This window comes from Homo sapiens, chromosome 10 (genome assembly GCF_000001405.40).
Source record: "Homo sapiens chromosome 10, GRCh38.p14 Primary Assembly".
Taxonomy (NCBI): Eukaryota; Metazoa; Chordata; class Mammalia; order Primates; family Hominidae; genus Homo; species Homo sapiens.
The window spans coordinates 31,335,576-31,353,331 of record NC_000010.11 but is presented as its reverse complement, the minus strand read 5'-3'; the positions used below and the strand labels follow the sequence as shown (position 1 = coordinate 31,353,331).

The following is a 17,756-nucleotide window of genomic DNA, read 5'->3' as shown; positions in this document are numbered from 1 at the left end:
ACTATTGAACTATCTTGGTAAGACAAAGACTTTAGATGAATTATGATTTATCTTTAAAACATACCTTTAAGTATTATAATCACAAATATAAAAATTAAACATGAGGGACATGGGAAAAGAAACAGGATGGGAGTAATGGAATTTCCAGCACTACGCTGTGTACTTCCAAATTATCTCACTTAACTGTCAATCCTGTGAGGTTGATACTACTACTGTCATACAGATGAGAAGACAGTGGCTGATAGCTCTTAAGTGACCCTAGTGTAAATCCAGTGGTCAAATCCATGTGTGCTTGACTATACCAGTTTCTGAAATGTGGTAATGGCAAATACCCATGCTCAGCAAAAACTGCACTTCCTTGTGGTAGTTTGCATTTCCATAGATGGCTGCAACAATACATCCCAAACCATTTGCTCTTCTACAGTGTAATCTTGCTACTCCATCTTTAACAAATGAAGCCTATTTCTCTTCCTGTTGATCTGGGCTGGCCTTGTGACTTGTTTTGATCAACAGAATGGGCAGAAGTAATGCTAAGTAACTTCTAAATATGGCCCTTTAAAAGGCTGCAGCTTCTTTGCCCTTGGAACATTTCTTTTTGGAATCCAGCTACCATGTTGTAAGCAAGCCCAACTAACTTCACAGAGAGGCACACTTAAGGAGAGCTGAGGCACCCAGGCCACCCCCAACTGTGCTCCACGCCAGCAGCCTGCATCCACTGCCAGCTATGTAAGTGAGGCCACTGTGGACTGCCCTCTTTCCTAGCACCCCAGCCAAGACCACACAAAGCAGAAGACTCACTCAGTCAACTCTCAAAATTATGAGAAATAATGAATTACTGTTGTTTTAAGCCATTAAACTTTGGGGTGGCTTGTCATGCAGCTACTAATGAAGTGAAACACTCACCATCTTCCTTAGAAATGTATTTCAACAATGCCAGTGTTGGCACTAGAAGGGCCAATAAGAAGCCAAATTTTTGTTTTTTTGTGACTACCGAAATAGAATTATGGAAAATCACAGTAACGCTTAAATTTCAATAATTACTAAAAGTTACACTCATTTTACATTGAAAAACAACATGGTTCAGCACTTAAAATCACAATGTTTCATAAAATCACAATGACTTTGGATAAATTTAATACTGAGTGAAACACTAAGTCTTATGAAAATAAGGGCAACGCTTAAAAGTTTGAAAAAGAAAGGCAAATAGGTAACAGAATAAAGTCTGATTATATCAAAATAAAGCTCATATATTTGATTTGTATCCTATGTATTATGAATTATATGCTTTACATGTATTATATAGCCTATGTATTATGATTATGGGCTATATAAAGAATTAGTATACAGTAAAACATACTACATTGAATTTTACTAAACATAATGTTTTGTCTTATTTAGAAACTTCTTTAAAGATAAACATTGTATTTGGTGAAGTATCAGTATACCAGCAAAATACTACTTCATAAAAATTTCCAGTTGACAGAAGTCTGGATTACAGTCCGTTGCCTTATTTTAAATTTCTGTTATACAACTGTAAAAGTCTTGTTATACCATGAAATATGCTGAATACATGCAGACTTAAAGGAATATTTTTAGATAACCTCTGAAGGATATCAGATAATTTATTACAAAAATAAGGATTAGTTAATTTATGAAGGATAAACATAATTTCCAGTAGTGACATTATCAAAGAAGATTATTGTGCTAGAAAGACAATTGCCCTGACCCAATAAAAGAGTCTCTTATGATTTAAACAGCAGAGAGAAAATAATCTAGCGTAATTCCAATTTTGGTGCTATAATAAAAGGTAGGAAAAAAAGGAAGTCCACATAAATACCTAATACAGTCTTCATAATTCTTAGAAAATAAAGAATTCTAAAATAGCAAGTAAAGAATTTTGAAAATTCTATGCTTATCAGACTGATGCTGAAAAGTTATTTAGTCTAGTAAAAAAGCATTTCTGAAAAAACTAGAAAAAATAAATGATTTACTCAATTTTAAAACTTAATTTTGTTTTGACGCAGACACTACGAAAGATTCTATATCCAGAAATAAAATCCTATTTTGCTAAAAAGAGATTTCCAGAGCAACTGTACCGTAAGAGTAAGGTCTAGCAATTTACAACTACTATATTTCTTTTCAGTTGCTACTAGAAAATATACATTCAAGACAGATTCTTAATTCTCTTCCATGACTCCAGATACTCAGCTAACACTGAGGTTGAAACTATGCCCAAGTCCCTGCATATTCACACAAGGTTGCTATTTGGCTGCAAAGGAGCCTTTTACAAGAGAGAAAGTGAACATAATGGGGGAGAAGGGAACTGAAGAGAAAGAAAAAGCTGCTTTTGTGCCATATGAATTATTTATTCAGTCAAGCAATGAACTCACTACTTCTAACTCTAACAATTTATCAGAGAACTCTAAATAGTGAACTCAAAGGCTTAGTTTGAAAATTATCACTATTCAGCCAAGCTGTAATTTTTTCCACTTGAAAATGTTTTTAAAACATAAATTGTATTTTATCCAGTAATTTCAATTTCCAATTTATAAATTTTATAATCAGAGCCAAAGTGTTAATTTTTAAAACAGACCCAAAAAAAACCCCAGATAATAACTTTCATCACAGGCTATTAGGAATTAACAAACTACTCATTTTTTGTTATTCTTAGTTTAGGAAGCTAATTATAGACATGTCAATTCATGAAACCTTAAATTATTACTATTTGTGTTCAACTGATAACCAAGTATCTTAAACTAGTTCAAGAAAACCTTTATTCATCTGGTGAGTGCTGTTGAGATTTATTTTACCAAAGTCTCCATGAGGTAGTCCTGGTTCTTGATCAGTATAGACAGACTAGACTCAGATTTCTCCTACAATCAGTAATGATGTTTAGTTGCCTAAATTATTAATAGAGATTAAATCACTTTGGAATAAGAATAGAGATAAGGTACTTGCTTCTTGAAAAGAGAAATAATCAGGTCCAATCTGTGCCCAAATGGCCTTTTCTTACATATCAAAGATAATGCAGAATTTTTGCCACCTTTCTCATCATAAAATAATTTACTTAAAAAATATGAATATAATAGAGAGACCACACATTTATGGTCAATTGATTTTCAATAAAGATGCCAAGAACACACAATGGGGAAAAAACAGTCTCCTCAATAAATGGTGTTGGGAAAACTGAATGTCCCCATGCAGAAGAATGAAATTAGACCCTCATCTCACATCATTTACGAAAATCAACTCAAAATTGATTAAATACTTAAACATGAAACCCGACACTATAAAACTCCTACAAGAAAACATAGGGAAAAAGCTCTCTGACACTGGTATGGGCAATGACTTTCTAAATATGACCCTAAAAGTATAGGCAACAAAAACAAAAATAGACAAATAGGATTACATCAAACTAAAAATTTCTGCTCAGCAAATAAAACAATCAAGAGTGAAGAGACAACCTGCAGAATGGGAGAAAATATTTGAAAACACACCATACAACTGATAAGACATTAGTATCCAAAACATGTAAAAAGCTAAAGCAACTAAATAGCAAGAAAATAAATAAACCTAATAAAAAAACAGCAAAGGGTGCAGACATTTCATAAGGGATGACATACAAATTGCCAACAGGTATATGAAATAGTGCTCAGCATGACTAATCATCAGGGAAATGCAAATTAAAACCCAATGAGAGACTACCTCACACCTGTTAGAATGGTGATTATCAAAAAGATGAAACAGAACAAGTGCTGATGAGGATGCAGAGAGAAGGAAACCCCTGTACGCTGTTGCTGGGAATGTAAATTGGTACAGCCACTATGGAAAACAGTATGGAGGGTCCTCAAAAACTAACATTGGAGCTATCATATGATCCACCAGTCTCACCAATAGTTATAAATACAAAAGAAATGAAATCAGTGTGTTGATGAGGTATCTGTACTCCCCTGTTCATTTCAGCATTATTCGTAAGAGCCAGGATATGGAATCAACCTAAGTATCCATCAACAGATGAACTGATAGAGAGAATGTAGTATACGCACACAACAGAATACTATTCTTCCTTCAAAGAGAAGAAAATCCTGTCAGTTGCAACGACACGGATGAACCTGGAGGACATTATAATAAGTGAAATAAGCTAAGGCACAGAAAGAGAAATGCCAATGATCTCACTTATACGTGGAATCTAAAACAGTCTAAATCATGGAAGCAGAGAGTAGAATGGTGGTAACCAGAGGCTGGGGTGTAGAAGGGGTGGGGAAATGTTGGTCAAAGGATACAAAATTTCATCTAAACAGGAGGAATAAATTCAAGAGATCCATGGTAAATCATAGGCCTACAGTTAATATACTGTACACCTGAAAATTGTGAAGAGTAGATTTTAGGTGTTCTCACAACAAAAAGTATGTGAGGTAATGCATATGTTAATTAGCTTGATTTAGCCATTCCACAATGTGTACATATATCAAAAAATAAAGTTGTACACCATAAATATAATTTTATCAATTTAAACAAATAACAGAAGATAATGAAAATATTTTGTATTTTGTGTAAATGAATGAATAACATACTTTTTTTTTGGCTTGAGTCATTCTGTAACCTAAAACGGACACAGAACACAACTTCTTTTGGAAAGTTACACACTTGTCTCCTTACACTTTCATTTTCTATTTGAAATGGTTTGAAAATCCCTAAGTCTCAGGAGGAGTGTCTATCTGACATAATTTTATGGGACTCTATTTTTTCTTTTTTCTTTTTATTTTTTGAGACCGAGTCTCACTCTGTCACCCAGGCTGGAATGCAATGGTGCAATCTCAGCTCACTGCAACCTCCACCACCCAGGTGCAAGTGATTCTCCTGTCTCAGCCTCCTGAGTAGCTGGGATTACAGGAGCCCGCCACCACACCCGGCTAATTTTTGTATTTTTAGTAGAGATGGGGTTTCGCTATGTTGGCAAGGCTGGTCTCAGACTCCTGACCTCAAGTGATCCACCCACCTCAGCCTCCCAAAGTGCTGGGATTACAGGTGTGAGCCACTGCACCCAGCCTAGACTCTATTCTTAAAAAAACCAGAAGAGCAAATCATGTTTTGTGCATTTCCCCTAACTTGCTCCTTTTTCTAGGTACATCTGACATTCCCTGCTTCTGCTTTTTTCCCAGACAAATCACTTGGTAATATATAGGCACTGATTCTCCTTGATTATACTCATATTTTACAGAATGAGAATTAAGGCCAGTAGAATAGTTAAAATTCACCTGAGTTATGGTGAGGAAAGTAAGGCCCACACAACCTATGTTACTAACCCAGATATCTACAACTAGTATGTGGCACAGCAAAGATTAAAGAACATGTTTCCAGACACCATCTGTTGCTCTTTGCAAAATGTCCCCACTAATTCCCCTGAAGGGCCCTGGAATTCATATCTGGGAGTCTATACAACTGATAAAATCTTTGCAACACACTTTAGTAATAATTTACTGTGAGGCTTAAAAGGGTATGCCCAATAATTCTACTCCTGGGATTCTATCCTATCATAAAAATCCAACTTGTCAGACAAGCTTCATATATAATTATTCCCATCTAGTATTTATGATAAAAATTGTTTTAAAATTTTTTTAATTTTTCAAAATGTCCAATAATAAGGGGAGACGCTATTTCCACTATAATGAAGAAATTTAAAATGTTTATGTTAAAGGTTTATGAAAGTGTTAAAAGAGGCACTTTCCTATGTCTAGTGACCTGTCAGGAGGCAACAAGTTACAAAAATACATGAATGTATGCTAAATAAGTGTTTTCAATCAAATAAATCATTAGATCTTACCCAGGCATGGTGGCTCATGCCTGTAGTCCCAGCTACCTAGGAGGCCAAACAGGAGGATCACTTGAACCCAGGAGTTCAAGGCCAGCCTGGGCAAAATAGCTAGACCTCATCTCTAAAAACATTAAAATTAAAATAACACAGATATATGCTAAACAAATGTTTTCAATAAAATAAATCCATAGATCTTCACTGAGTGAGAGTCTATCACATTAAGACTGACAGAGGCAAGACTGGAATCTTATTTTAAACAGGTGGCAGTTACACAGGGAGAGAGAATGATCTACTTTATGTAAGAAATACATTGCTTTAGTTTCTTTAAACTGGCATTGCACAATTCATTTTCTTCCTCATAGGGAAGAAAAACCTGCCTCGATAATCACTTGAAGGTAGTTAAAAAATGAGTTTCCTAACACCTCCCCACCACATAAAAAAACTTCAAGGTCCTCATTATTAAAGCTGAGCTTTATCTTACTTTGGAAAACTGTAATAAATATCTTCCAAGTGTTTTTAAGAGACTAAAGGAAAGTCCTCCTTTAAAGCACCACATCTCACTTATCAAAGCTTTAAACCATCCTCAGTAGTTACAGGCCTTAAACTTAAAAATCTGTAAATCTTGTCTTATCTTAACCCCAAGGAAAAGACTTAATTAGCAAAAGTACAGTCTGAAGACGATAACTGACTTAATTGAGCATGCATGGTTATACTTTTAAGACAGAAATGGGACTTACAATGTATGTAATTTGACAAGATTTAAGTTCCCTTCACACAATAAGAACAACCAGACTAAAGGCAGCGAAAAAACGGTGGTATTTTTCCTAACAGGATATTTTTCTATTTTAGATGATATTTCATTTTTCTTCATCAAGTGGTCTGCTCTTGACTTATCAAGACATGATAGAAAAGGACATTAGATGGCTTTATCTATCTCAAAAAGAAAAAAAAAACTCTACGTGCAAAAGTTTCAATTTTATATTTATTTTTTGCTAAAAGCAGTATTTTTACTCCCAAAGCCATCTAATTTAAAATAAATCATTAAGGGCAACTACTAAAACACCTCAAAAAGGTACTATTTCATTCAAATTTGTAAGCACTAAACTCACATCATCCTACCTTTATTTTGGGTCTAAAGTTTCCACGTATCAACAACTCATATTCTTTTACTAGTTTCTGTAACTAGAATTCTGAAAACCAACTATCCAGTTACTTAAAATAACCCTGAAGTAGCTGAAACATCCAAGTTAGCAAGAAATTTCCTATAGTTCTGTTCATAGGGAGGTAAGAGTTTTTCCACACAAGACATAGAATTTTTCTTCTGAAACAAAGCAGATGAGCTACAGTGAACAAATTGTAAATTAACTAATAGTTGTCATAAGCTTCCCTATAAACTCCCTACATTTTAATGATGACTATTCATACTTCCAAACAACTGGACACAGTAAGAAAATCGTAGCTTCTGCTTCAAACTAGCTCTTGTGATGTAAGCCAAATTACATAACTTTTTGAGGTTCTCAGTTCTATCTATAAAATGAACCAGACCAGATGGATTTTTAAGGTCCCTTTCCACTTTAAGAATCTATATTTCATTTTCTCTGAGACTTTTAAAAATCTTTTTCAAAGGTGGTAAGGCATCTTTGGAAGAAGGAAAAGAATTTCTTTCTTTTTACAGTAAAAGAAAATATTTTCACCTTTTTCTGACAATCTGCACAGAAAAGTTTTCTAGGCTCTCTCCTAGCATTTTCAATACCCCCTTGGGATCTAGGGAAGCTGATTTCCCTTTTAACAAGATGATCTCTATAAATGAATGAGGCTGTTTCTGCTAATGGCCTCCTGTTCACCATTCTCCTTTTAGAGTATCAGCTACTAATTCCAACTGGGCAGGTTTACCTACATATCCTGCTTAGTCAAGGTGGGCCTCATAACCCACACAAGTTGATCTCCCATAAAAGGTGTTAGCAGTTGATTTGGTTTTGTCTTTAGCTCTTTATGGGAACATCAAGGCTTCTGGGAAGTAGTTTTATACAGGTGGACAACTCATAACACTTAGCATCTACATTCCCCACATAAAATGCCACAAACCTACAGAACAAAATGAATTTTAGTTACCAGTTTACTTTCCTGTCATTAAGAAAATTCTAAAACGTAAAATTAATGTTTCTACTTTAACAGGTTTAATAGGATTTATTACATTATATAATACAACCCCCGCCCCTGCCAATCTATTTTTTTCTATCACAGTGTATACTTTAATCTTCAGGTAAATGGAGTAACTGACAAATGGAGTGATTTAAGAGCACTATAAATGAAAAGACTAGTCAACAAAAATGCTAAGTACATAAATGGTTTAGTGAAATGTCTGTGAATCTGGATATTCAACATGCTAATTTGGGCTTGACCACCTCCCCAACTCCCTTCTGCCTCTCCCAAATTGTAAAATCCAAACTAATTCTTCCAGTAGAAAACTTCCAGTCAAACATTAACATCTGGATAAATTTTTAAATGTTTTTATTTTCTGTATTTTCCCGTATCAAAATATCAGACATCTCCTCTGGTAATATTTTTCATTAATTTAAATTTCAAGTTAAGATTTCTTTTTCATTAAATCTATTAAAAGAATCTTAAGCTTTAATCACTAAACTGCTGATTCAGAAAAACAAACAAACATGAATTAGTTCTCAACTATTCCAGGAGTCCACCTTAATATGTTCAAAATAACCCAGAACAAGTTAAAATGTCCAGGATAGCAAGAAAATTCCCACAATCGGAGTCTAAAAGGAGGTAAGGATCTTTTCACTCAAGGCACTGAATAGAGCTTTTCTTCTAACACAAAGTGTATGAGGTACAGCGAACAAACTGTAAAGGTAACTAGTTCTTTTGTCATATGGTCCCCTACAACCTTCTTATATTTTAACAATTAATGACTATTGGCAGCTTCTAACCAGTAAGGATACAATAGTTTCTGCTGGGGAAATTGAAGTGAGCCTAAGCATATTACTAATTTTCTAACAGATTATCAGAACTCAAATCAGAAAATTTAAATGAGTAACATTCAAGAATTTTCTATTTCATTACTGTAAAGTTGACATTAAATCTTAAATACTTATTTAAGTATATTTATATGTAAGTATTTTATACTTGAGTTGACAAATTGTCAAAATTACCAAATTAATGTAAAAAATACACAAATAATCTTTTAATATATACTACATATATCCATGAACATATGAAAAACTTAATTACTGGGAGACAATCTAATCTAATTATTGACTTTAAAAAGTGAGATTTTAAAAAGCCCATGGCTATATATTTACTTAATATAATTTGTCAGTTAATGTGCCTATTACATAACCAAAGACACCAGATCAAATGGTAACCAAAAATACCAACCAGCAACCCATCTAGTCTGCTCTGCATTTATGTATGATATCACCAGGATCCAGTGAGGCTGTCAGAAAAAGTATGGAGAAGACAGAAAGTCCACCTACACTTAGCCTGCACCTTTTCCTCAGAAAGAAATGTCACCCCTTCCCCAAGAAACCTCTATAATAGAAAAAGAAAAACGTGGGGATTATGCCAAATTGACCCCAAGCTTTAGTCTCCTCCTCAAGGCGCATTCAGTAAAAACATCGAAACACACATCTGATTTGACAGGCATTTGAGTTTACAAAGAACACGGTAAAATGAAATCATACTTGGAGCATTCATGGGTTCTGTGTCAAAGGTCACTTAGTAGTATTTCATCTGCTGCCTACTAAGATTTAAAGCGGGCAGAGAATAGAGAGCCACCAAACCATAGCACACCTGCTCTAAATGGCACCTTCAGAATCATCTCCTCCAACCTTTTCATTATACAAACACATTTTATAACATATTTGATTAACTCTGAATTTCCTAAGAGCTATGACAGAATGATACTAATTTCTGTGAAAGACATACACACACAAAAACAAAGATAAGCAGGCACAACCACAAAATGAAAAATTCTATAAATCAAAGGCCGTACTTTAAATGTGTATGATAAAAAATAAAAATAAATAAATAAATGTGTATGATAAATAATGAAATCTTAGGCTTAATACAATACTATAATGGATTGCTGGATTTTTATATTTCTCTGAAGAGAAACGTTCAGGATACAAATTACAATGCTATGGAAATAGATGAAAAGAAATTAGAGACTTTAAAAGCAAATGAAATATCAGATTGAATCATCTCTAAAAATGAAACAGGATTGCTCATCAAAACATTCTAAAAATGATTAACTTAAAATGTTAACTACAGTTTAGTGCTAAAATGAATAAACTTTTTCCTGTGCCACAATATAACATAGAAAGCTCTCAAGAGCTTCATGAAACAAAACCATTCAAAAAGAAAAATGGGGGAGGGGAAGGGTAAAAGGATCGGCAAGGAAACTGAGAATAAATGCAATCCACTAGCCAGTGGCTAAAGATTTAGAAGAGCAAGTGCATTTTGTTTTTACCGTCCTTGGAATGTGTACCCAACAGCTATGAAACAAAGAGGTGAGATGTGCTGCCACAAACACAAACAAAAATTTTGTTCTACTACTATATAAAAAGGAGGAGGTAGCTTTTCTTGCAGGGGAGAGATACAAGATTTAGAATTCATACCTTAAGTAGAGCTGGCATGTCAGGTAAAATTTGAAACTTTTGTATTTATATTCTGAATATTTCTGGAGCTTTCCAACGAGCTTATCCATATGGGGGAAATAAATTATATGCAGCAAGCCCAATTTATTCCTGTCTTTTCAGCAAACCAGATCTAACCTCAATCTACGTTTAAAAAGCTAGAATTGAAATAAGAAAGCTTATCTATTCCACTCTCTGCTGCTTCTTATCTATAGATCTCCAATTATACCACTTCATTTATGAGGATGGTATCATAATGTTCCTCTCTATTCAAACTTCTAGTATAACCTTAGGAGCCTTCAACATCTACATCGACGCCTACAGAGATTCAATAATAAACATCCTTTACTCCACTGCTAAGACTTGACCCTTTGTCATAACACTGAACAACCCTATCTCAAAAAATCATAACCTCCACCATTTTACTCTCTGATGATAACTTTCTCCCCTTCTACATCTCTCATGCCTTTATTTCCACTATCCTCAGAGAGATCTCCAGACCTAAAATTTCTCTATTTTCCATCAGCTCCCTAATCCTGGGCTCAATTCCTTTCCTACTGGCTCTACCACTAAAAATTGTGAATGTAAGTTACTTAATCTCTTCTTACCCGGTTTCCATATCTGTAAAATGGGAATAATAGTATGTATCTCATATTCTCTCATTTATTCAACAAGTATTTGAGCCTATTCTGTATGTCAGGCACTGAGAATAGCACAGACAACAAAGCATACCCACCTTGCTCTTATGGAACTTACATTCTAGAATCTTCTGTAACAACTATGGTTGTGGTGAGGGTTAAGAGTTAATATACGTAAAGAATAATGTACAGCACATAATTTGCAATATTTGGCACAGCTGATCATCTAAACTGCTCTAACTTCAAACAACTTGGTTTCCCTAAACTCACAACTTTTACTGTACCATCTGGTAAAACCTCAATCCTAGACTAATGTTACATTCTGATCTCCCCCACCAATTTAAGGCTTCTAAGGAAATCACAACGATATAGATTTGTTCCATTAAAAATGTGTGGTTTCTAGTCTTGCTTGGATCTTCAGGTTGGCCCACTGATTATTTCATTTTTTTCAGTTCCTTTTCTTATCTTTGTGGGGCTTCTTTTTCTCTACTTGACTCTGAAACACTTCTGTTCTCCAAGCTCCTGTCTTCTGACCTTTTTTTCTCTTCAGCCCACACACCTTCCCTTGATGGTCTTATGCTTTCAATCACCTCCTGCAAACTGATGAACTCTTCAAGCTGTATTTCCAGCCCAGGACCCCCATCTATATCCCACAGCATCAAGTTCAAAGGTTAACTGCCTTGTTAGCCTTCCTCCATTAGTGATGTCACAACCATCTTAAACTCAAAATATCCAAAACTGACTTCCGTTTGTCTCCTCAACTGATTATTCATATATTCACTCTGTTTGGTGTCATCGCTATCCCTGGAATCACCTCAGCTAGAAACTTTGGAGTTAATCTCGTCCATTTTTTCTCTCCCACTGGTCATTTCCAAGCATCGAGTCCTACTAAATTTACTATTTATCAACAACAAAAAAAGTACAGACTCTGAAATCTACTCCCTCTTCTCCATTTCTATTAAGTGTCAGTTTAAGCCCTCGTCACCTCTTATCAAGCTAACTACTTCCCAAATGGCCTCTCTGCCTCCAATCTTTTTCCCTTCAAATTTATCCTTCACATCAGCTATCAGAGTACTCTACTCAACCTGAATACAATCAAATTGGGCCCCTACTTAAAACCCTTCAATGACTGTCCAACTCACAAAAAGATGAAGTTCAAGCTCCTAAACATGGCATTTAAAAAGCTTCCATGATTTGGTTTCGTATCTCTCCAGACTCAACTCCAATCACTCTCTTACCCTTATCTCATACTCCTTCCAACAGAGATCTGCTTGTATGTCCAGAACATTCCATGTTGTTTCTCACCCATGTGCCTTTGCTCCTGTTCTCCTTTAGGCTATTCCTCTCTTCCTATTCCCCTGGGCCCTCTCATTTCAATGCTCATGCACTCACAATCAATATCTACCCTTCCTTGTCTCTCCCACTGACCTCCCTTTAGTATTCAGTTCAGGCATTATCTTTTCAAGTAAGCTTTCTCTGGCCATTCTTTCCATTTCTCTGTATTATAGTGACCATGCTTTATACAAGTGTCTGTTTTGTGACTGTATCCTTCATTTGACTGTGAACTCCCTAAGTATAGACCACAGCTTTACCTACCATTCCATCTCTAGCACTTGGCACAGTGCCTAGAACATGGTAGGCAAACATCACATGTTTGTAACATCACACTATTCAGTCTCATACCAATACCAAGTCATCAAGTACCAAATTGTAAAGTTACATAAAACTGAAGATCAGAAGCTGGATGATTTGTTTTTCTTTTCTGAATGTTAAGTGCTACTACTAAAATGCTATCAATGGGTCTTAAAGATTAGCTGCTACTCCATTCAACAAAAAACAGATTTCTATATTGCTAGAGTTTACCCTCTAAATGATTTCAAGTCTGTCCTAAAAAAGTAAGTTAGTAATTCATAAAATGTATCCCTAGGTGTTTTGACATCTGAAAAAAATATATCCTGTACCAAAAGCAGGATATGCTTGGTATGGAAAGGGAGAAACAACACTTGATGCCACAAACAATGCAATCATCCTAGATAATTCATTGAACCCAATTTTTAAAAGAAAAAATTTAATATGAATACACATGAACCTTACAGTAATGCACACAAATAAATTATGGAGTAACATAACAATTTTGCATTAATTTTAAAGATACAATCAAGAAATATTTCTCACTTTCTGAGAAACATTTCATGACGTTTATACCCCAAAATCTACCAGGGGTATAATTTGTTCTCCTGTGCTGTGTTGATATGGATTTATCTAAAATAACATAAAAATACCATATATTATATGACCTCCTCTCCCTAGTAGAGAAATGAAGCAAAACAAATAAGAGATGTGGGTGGTACACTGTCATAATCACCCAGAGCTCTCTGTGAACATCCCAAATTATCTGACTTGATGGTCACAGCTATAAACTGCTATAAACTATTTTATATAGGTTTTTTTTTTTTTTTAATTTGAGACAGAGTCTCTCTCTGTCGCTGGAGTGAGTGGTGCAATCTCAGTTCACTGCAACCTCTGCCTCCCCGGTTCAAGCGATTCTCCTGTCTCAGCCTCCTGAGTAGCTGAGATTACAGGTGTGCACCACCACACCTGGCTAAGTTTTTTGTATTTTTAGTAGAGAAGGGGTTTCACCACATTGGTCAGGCTGGTCTCGAACTCCTGACCTTGTGATCCACCCACCTCAGCCTCCCAAAGTGCTGGGACTACAGATGTGAGCCACGGCGCCTGGCCTTATATAGGTTCTTAACAAAATAAATGTCTACTTCACTGCAAGAGCTTTCCTTTTTATTTAAAAGTAAATAAGTCCTTACAATATGCCACACATGTGCAAAGAGACAGGAAATACTCTCTCTCAGAAGATTCTCTAAAAGTGAATTTAGGCCATATAAACCATTTCTGCTCTAAAGAAAAATCATTAACAGTCATGTGTTTTGCCTGTTAAAACCATGTGTCACTGAAAGTTAAGCTATTTAAAGTAGCTAACAAAAAGCACAAAGAGAAGCTGAAATTCTTAGAGATGTTTTATATCTATATATATAGTGAGCATATATGGCTACAGGATGAGATCTTCTCTCAAGAACTTCTACAGTAAATGCTCTAAATGGAGTGTGGGTCTGAATGGGTAAAGAACTATTACTCTAAAGGATTTGTCTGATTCTTCTCTCTTTGCCTGGTGCCTCACTTTAGACTACTACTACTAGTTTCTTCACAAATTACTTAGAATTTTCCCTGTTGACAGTCTAACTCTATTTTACTATGAGAATTTCCCAAAGGTATCATGTCAACATCCCTGAATCAAATATCACTCTCCCATAAATGATTTATACATCATTTATGATGTATAAATATCAAATTTATACACGCTACTGTTAAACTCTTATTTTAAATCATGACTCCATTAACCCACCTTTGGAAGAAGAAAGTACACTATCACCATTTGTGCATTACGGGTAGATCTGCAATCAGACTAACAGGTACTTTTGCCTATCTATTTTTCTCATCTCATGAACGTACGGACACAAAATTCATTGAAGAGTAAATCTAAGCAATGTCCAGCAGTGTGTAATTTACCAGTATTGCTTTTTACATTCTCAGATCAAACAAAGGGAATAATATAATTATTTCATCATAATCTGACAATATGCTGGCACCGCTCAAAAATAGTACCCTGTTTATTAAAGAACATTGAAATAGATGACATACTCCTCTTAGAGATCTACTTCATATGGTCTCTTACAGCTTAGTGGTTAAGTGCACAGACTGTGGAACCAGACTGCCTAGGTTTGAACACAGGCTCCACTTACTAGCTAAGTGACCTTACCCAACACTTTCCGTGCCTCAGTTTCCCTTTACCTATCAAAGATAGCAGGATCTTTCTCATAGGGTTGCAATGAATACTAAATAAATTAATATTTTAACGATATTGAGAATAGTGCCTGATACAAAAATGCTATTGTTTGATAAACAAAATAAAATGTAAATATTCTAAAATGAAATGTTATATCCACAAGTGCAATAGTAACACACATATTTTAAGTTAGAAAAAAATATAATAAGGTAATACCTTTCTCAAACTTCCTAAAAGGTGGTCAATAAACAGAAAATATGTAAAGGTAGAAGCCAAGTAAATTTAGTGACTACAAAAATATAAAAGAATTAAAAATGCCTATACCCCTAAAAATAAATGAATACATTTTGGAGTATCACACAACCAGGGTTAGAAATTATTATGCTTAGGCCGGGCGCGGTGTCTCATGCCTGTAATCCCAACACTATGGGAGGCCAAGGCAGGTGGATCATGAGGGTCAGGAGTTCAAGACCTGCCTGGCCAAGATGGTGAAACCCTGTCTCTACTAAAAATACACAAATTAGCCAGCGTGGTGGTGGGTGCCTGTAATCCCAGCTACTGGGGAGGCTGAGGCAGGAGAATCGCTTGACCGGGGAGACGGAGGCAGCAGTGAGCCGAGATTGCGCCATTGCACTCCAGCCTGGGAGACACAGCAAGACTCCATCAAAAAAAAAAAAAAAAAAAAAACAGAAAGAAATTATTAAGCTTTATCTGCTATATTAAATACAAAGATAGTATAAAATACTAAAGATACTCAAAAGAAATTGATTACATTTGAGAACTCACAAAAATTAAACATACGTACATAGGAAATACATGGCAAATACTGAGTTCCCCCAAAAATCATTCACTTTTATTTTTTCAGTTACTATTTTAGATTAAATGTTGATTATCAGTAGCCATAAATTACTATCAGTAATTATTAATATCAAACATTAAAGAATTCTATAAAATAAATTTAAGGTATAATAAGTAATACAATAAATATCTGAGTTCCACCATCGTTTTTTTTTAAACACACATTATCCTGACCTGTGATATCTACTCTGTGTCCAAATTCACTCATTCCTAAATTTTATGTTTATCATAGACTTGTATTATGTGTATTGGTATCCTTAAACAATATATTACTTAATTTTGCGTGTTCTTTGATTCTATATAAATGGAATCACACTATATTCTTCAGTGATTTGTTTTGTTCGAACATTATTTTCCTAGGATGATCCAAGTTGTTAAGCACAGGTGTAATTCATTCATTTTTCAGTATTGTGTTGCATTCCATTGTATAAATATACTACAATTTACTTATCCTATTATTTATTTTTTTGTTTTGTTATTGTGATCAGTACTGTATAAACAACTACATACATTACCTGGTATGTCTGTATAGAGATTTCTCTAAGACATAGGAATACTGGGTCATAGTGTTATGTGTATCTTCAACTTTAATAATGTGAAATTATTTCCCAAAGTGAATGTACCTACTTACATTAGCATCTGCAACGCCTAAGTGTTCAGTTGTTCCATGTCTATACCAACAGCAGTATTAGCTGGCTTCTAAGTTTTGAGAATCTAGGAGACATGAAATGCCTTCTTAACGTGGTTTTAATTTGCATTTCCCTGATTCCTAATGAGGTTGAATATCTTATAATACACTCCTTGGCCAAACGAGTTTATTCTTTTGTGAAGTGCCTATTCAAGCCCAGTTTTCTATCAGATTGTTCATCTTTATTTCCCTGGGTGGTAGATTTTGATATGTGCTAAATACGGGATTAGGCACTCTACAGTATCTATTAGTGAAACAAAATTCTTAATTTTGATGTAGTCATATTTGCCAATCTTTTGCTCTGTGTTTTATGCCTTTTTATCTTTACTCAAAGTCATAGAGATATTCTAGCCTATCATCTTTATAAAGTGTTACCATTTTACTTTACCTATACCTTTACCTTACCTACAGATTTAGATCTATAATCCTTCCACTGGTTTCTCTAAATAGTGTGAGGCAGCAGTCCAACCCCAATTTTTTCCATTTAATTAACCAACAACCCCAATTATTGAAAGGGTCATCCTATTTCACTCATTGGCAATCCCAGTGCCATCACAGATCCATTTCATGAATGAGTATCTTGCTATTATCTCTTAGTTCTTCCATGTAAGTTTTTGGATTAGCGTGTCAAATTCAACAAAAACCTGTCAATATTTTGATCAGATGGCACAGAACTTACAGATAAAATTGGGGAGAAATGGCACCATTACAATGTTCAAGTCTCCTTTTATAAACATGGTACATTATGCTATTTAATTAGATCTTTATGTCTGCCAATGTTTCATAATTTCTCCATAAAGATATTGAGCACGTTGTTAGATTTACTCACAGTGTTTTATACTTTTATGATGATATAATGCTACCTCTTAATTGCATTTCTATGCCAGCAAAAAGTCTGAAAAATAATTGAATTTGTATAATAATTCTGCATCCAAATTTAAACTTTGAGTAATTCATCTGTGAATTTTTCTGGGTTACACAGATAATCATATAATCTGCAAATAATAATAGCTTTTTCTTTCTAATCATTGTATCTTTGTTTGTTTACTGTACTAGCTATACTTCTAGTACAATGTTGACTAAAAGTGGCATTAGCAGGCACACTTGTCCTTTGATATCAAAGGGAACCAATGCCTTCAATACTTTACCATGAAGTGGAAAGAAGGTAGGGCTGGAAATTTTCTTTGGAAAAAAATGCCTTTATCAGGTTAAGAAAGGGGCCTTCTCATTTACTGACTTGCTAAGAGTT

At 34.8% G+C, this 17,756-nt stretch overlaps 1 protein-coding gene across 53 annotated transcripts in view, besides 1 other annotated feature; it reads right to left on the bottom strand.

Annotated features, from left to right (window-relative positions):
- The window catches only part of ZEB1 (zinc finger E-box binding homeobox 1), a 211,388-nt gene that overhangs the window by 176,473 nt on the left and 17,159 nt on the right, over nt 1-17,756 (bottom strand). The gene's annotated exons all lie outside the window — the stretch shown is intronic.
- Nucleotides 11,530-11,669: an enhancer, noted in NCBI's record as "active region_3236". NCBI's record gives its function as "activates an Ori minimal core promoter by ATAC-STARR-seq in GM12878 lymphoblastoid cells {active_cell/tissue: GM12878}" and the evidence as "EXISTENCE:reporter gene assay evidence [ECO:0000049][PMID:35858748]".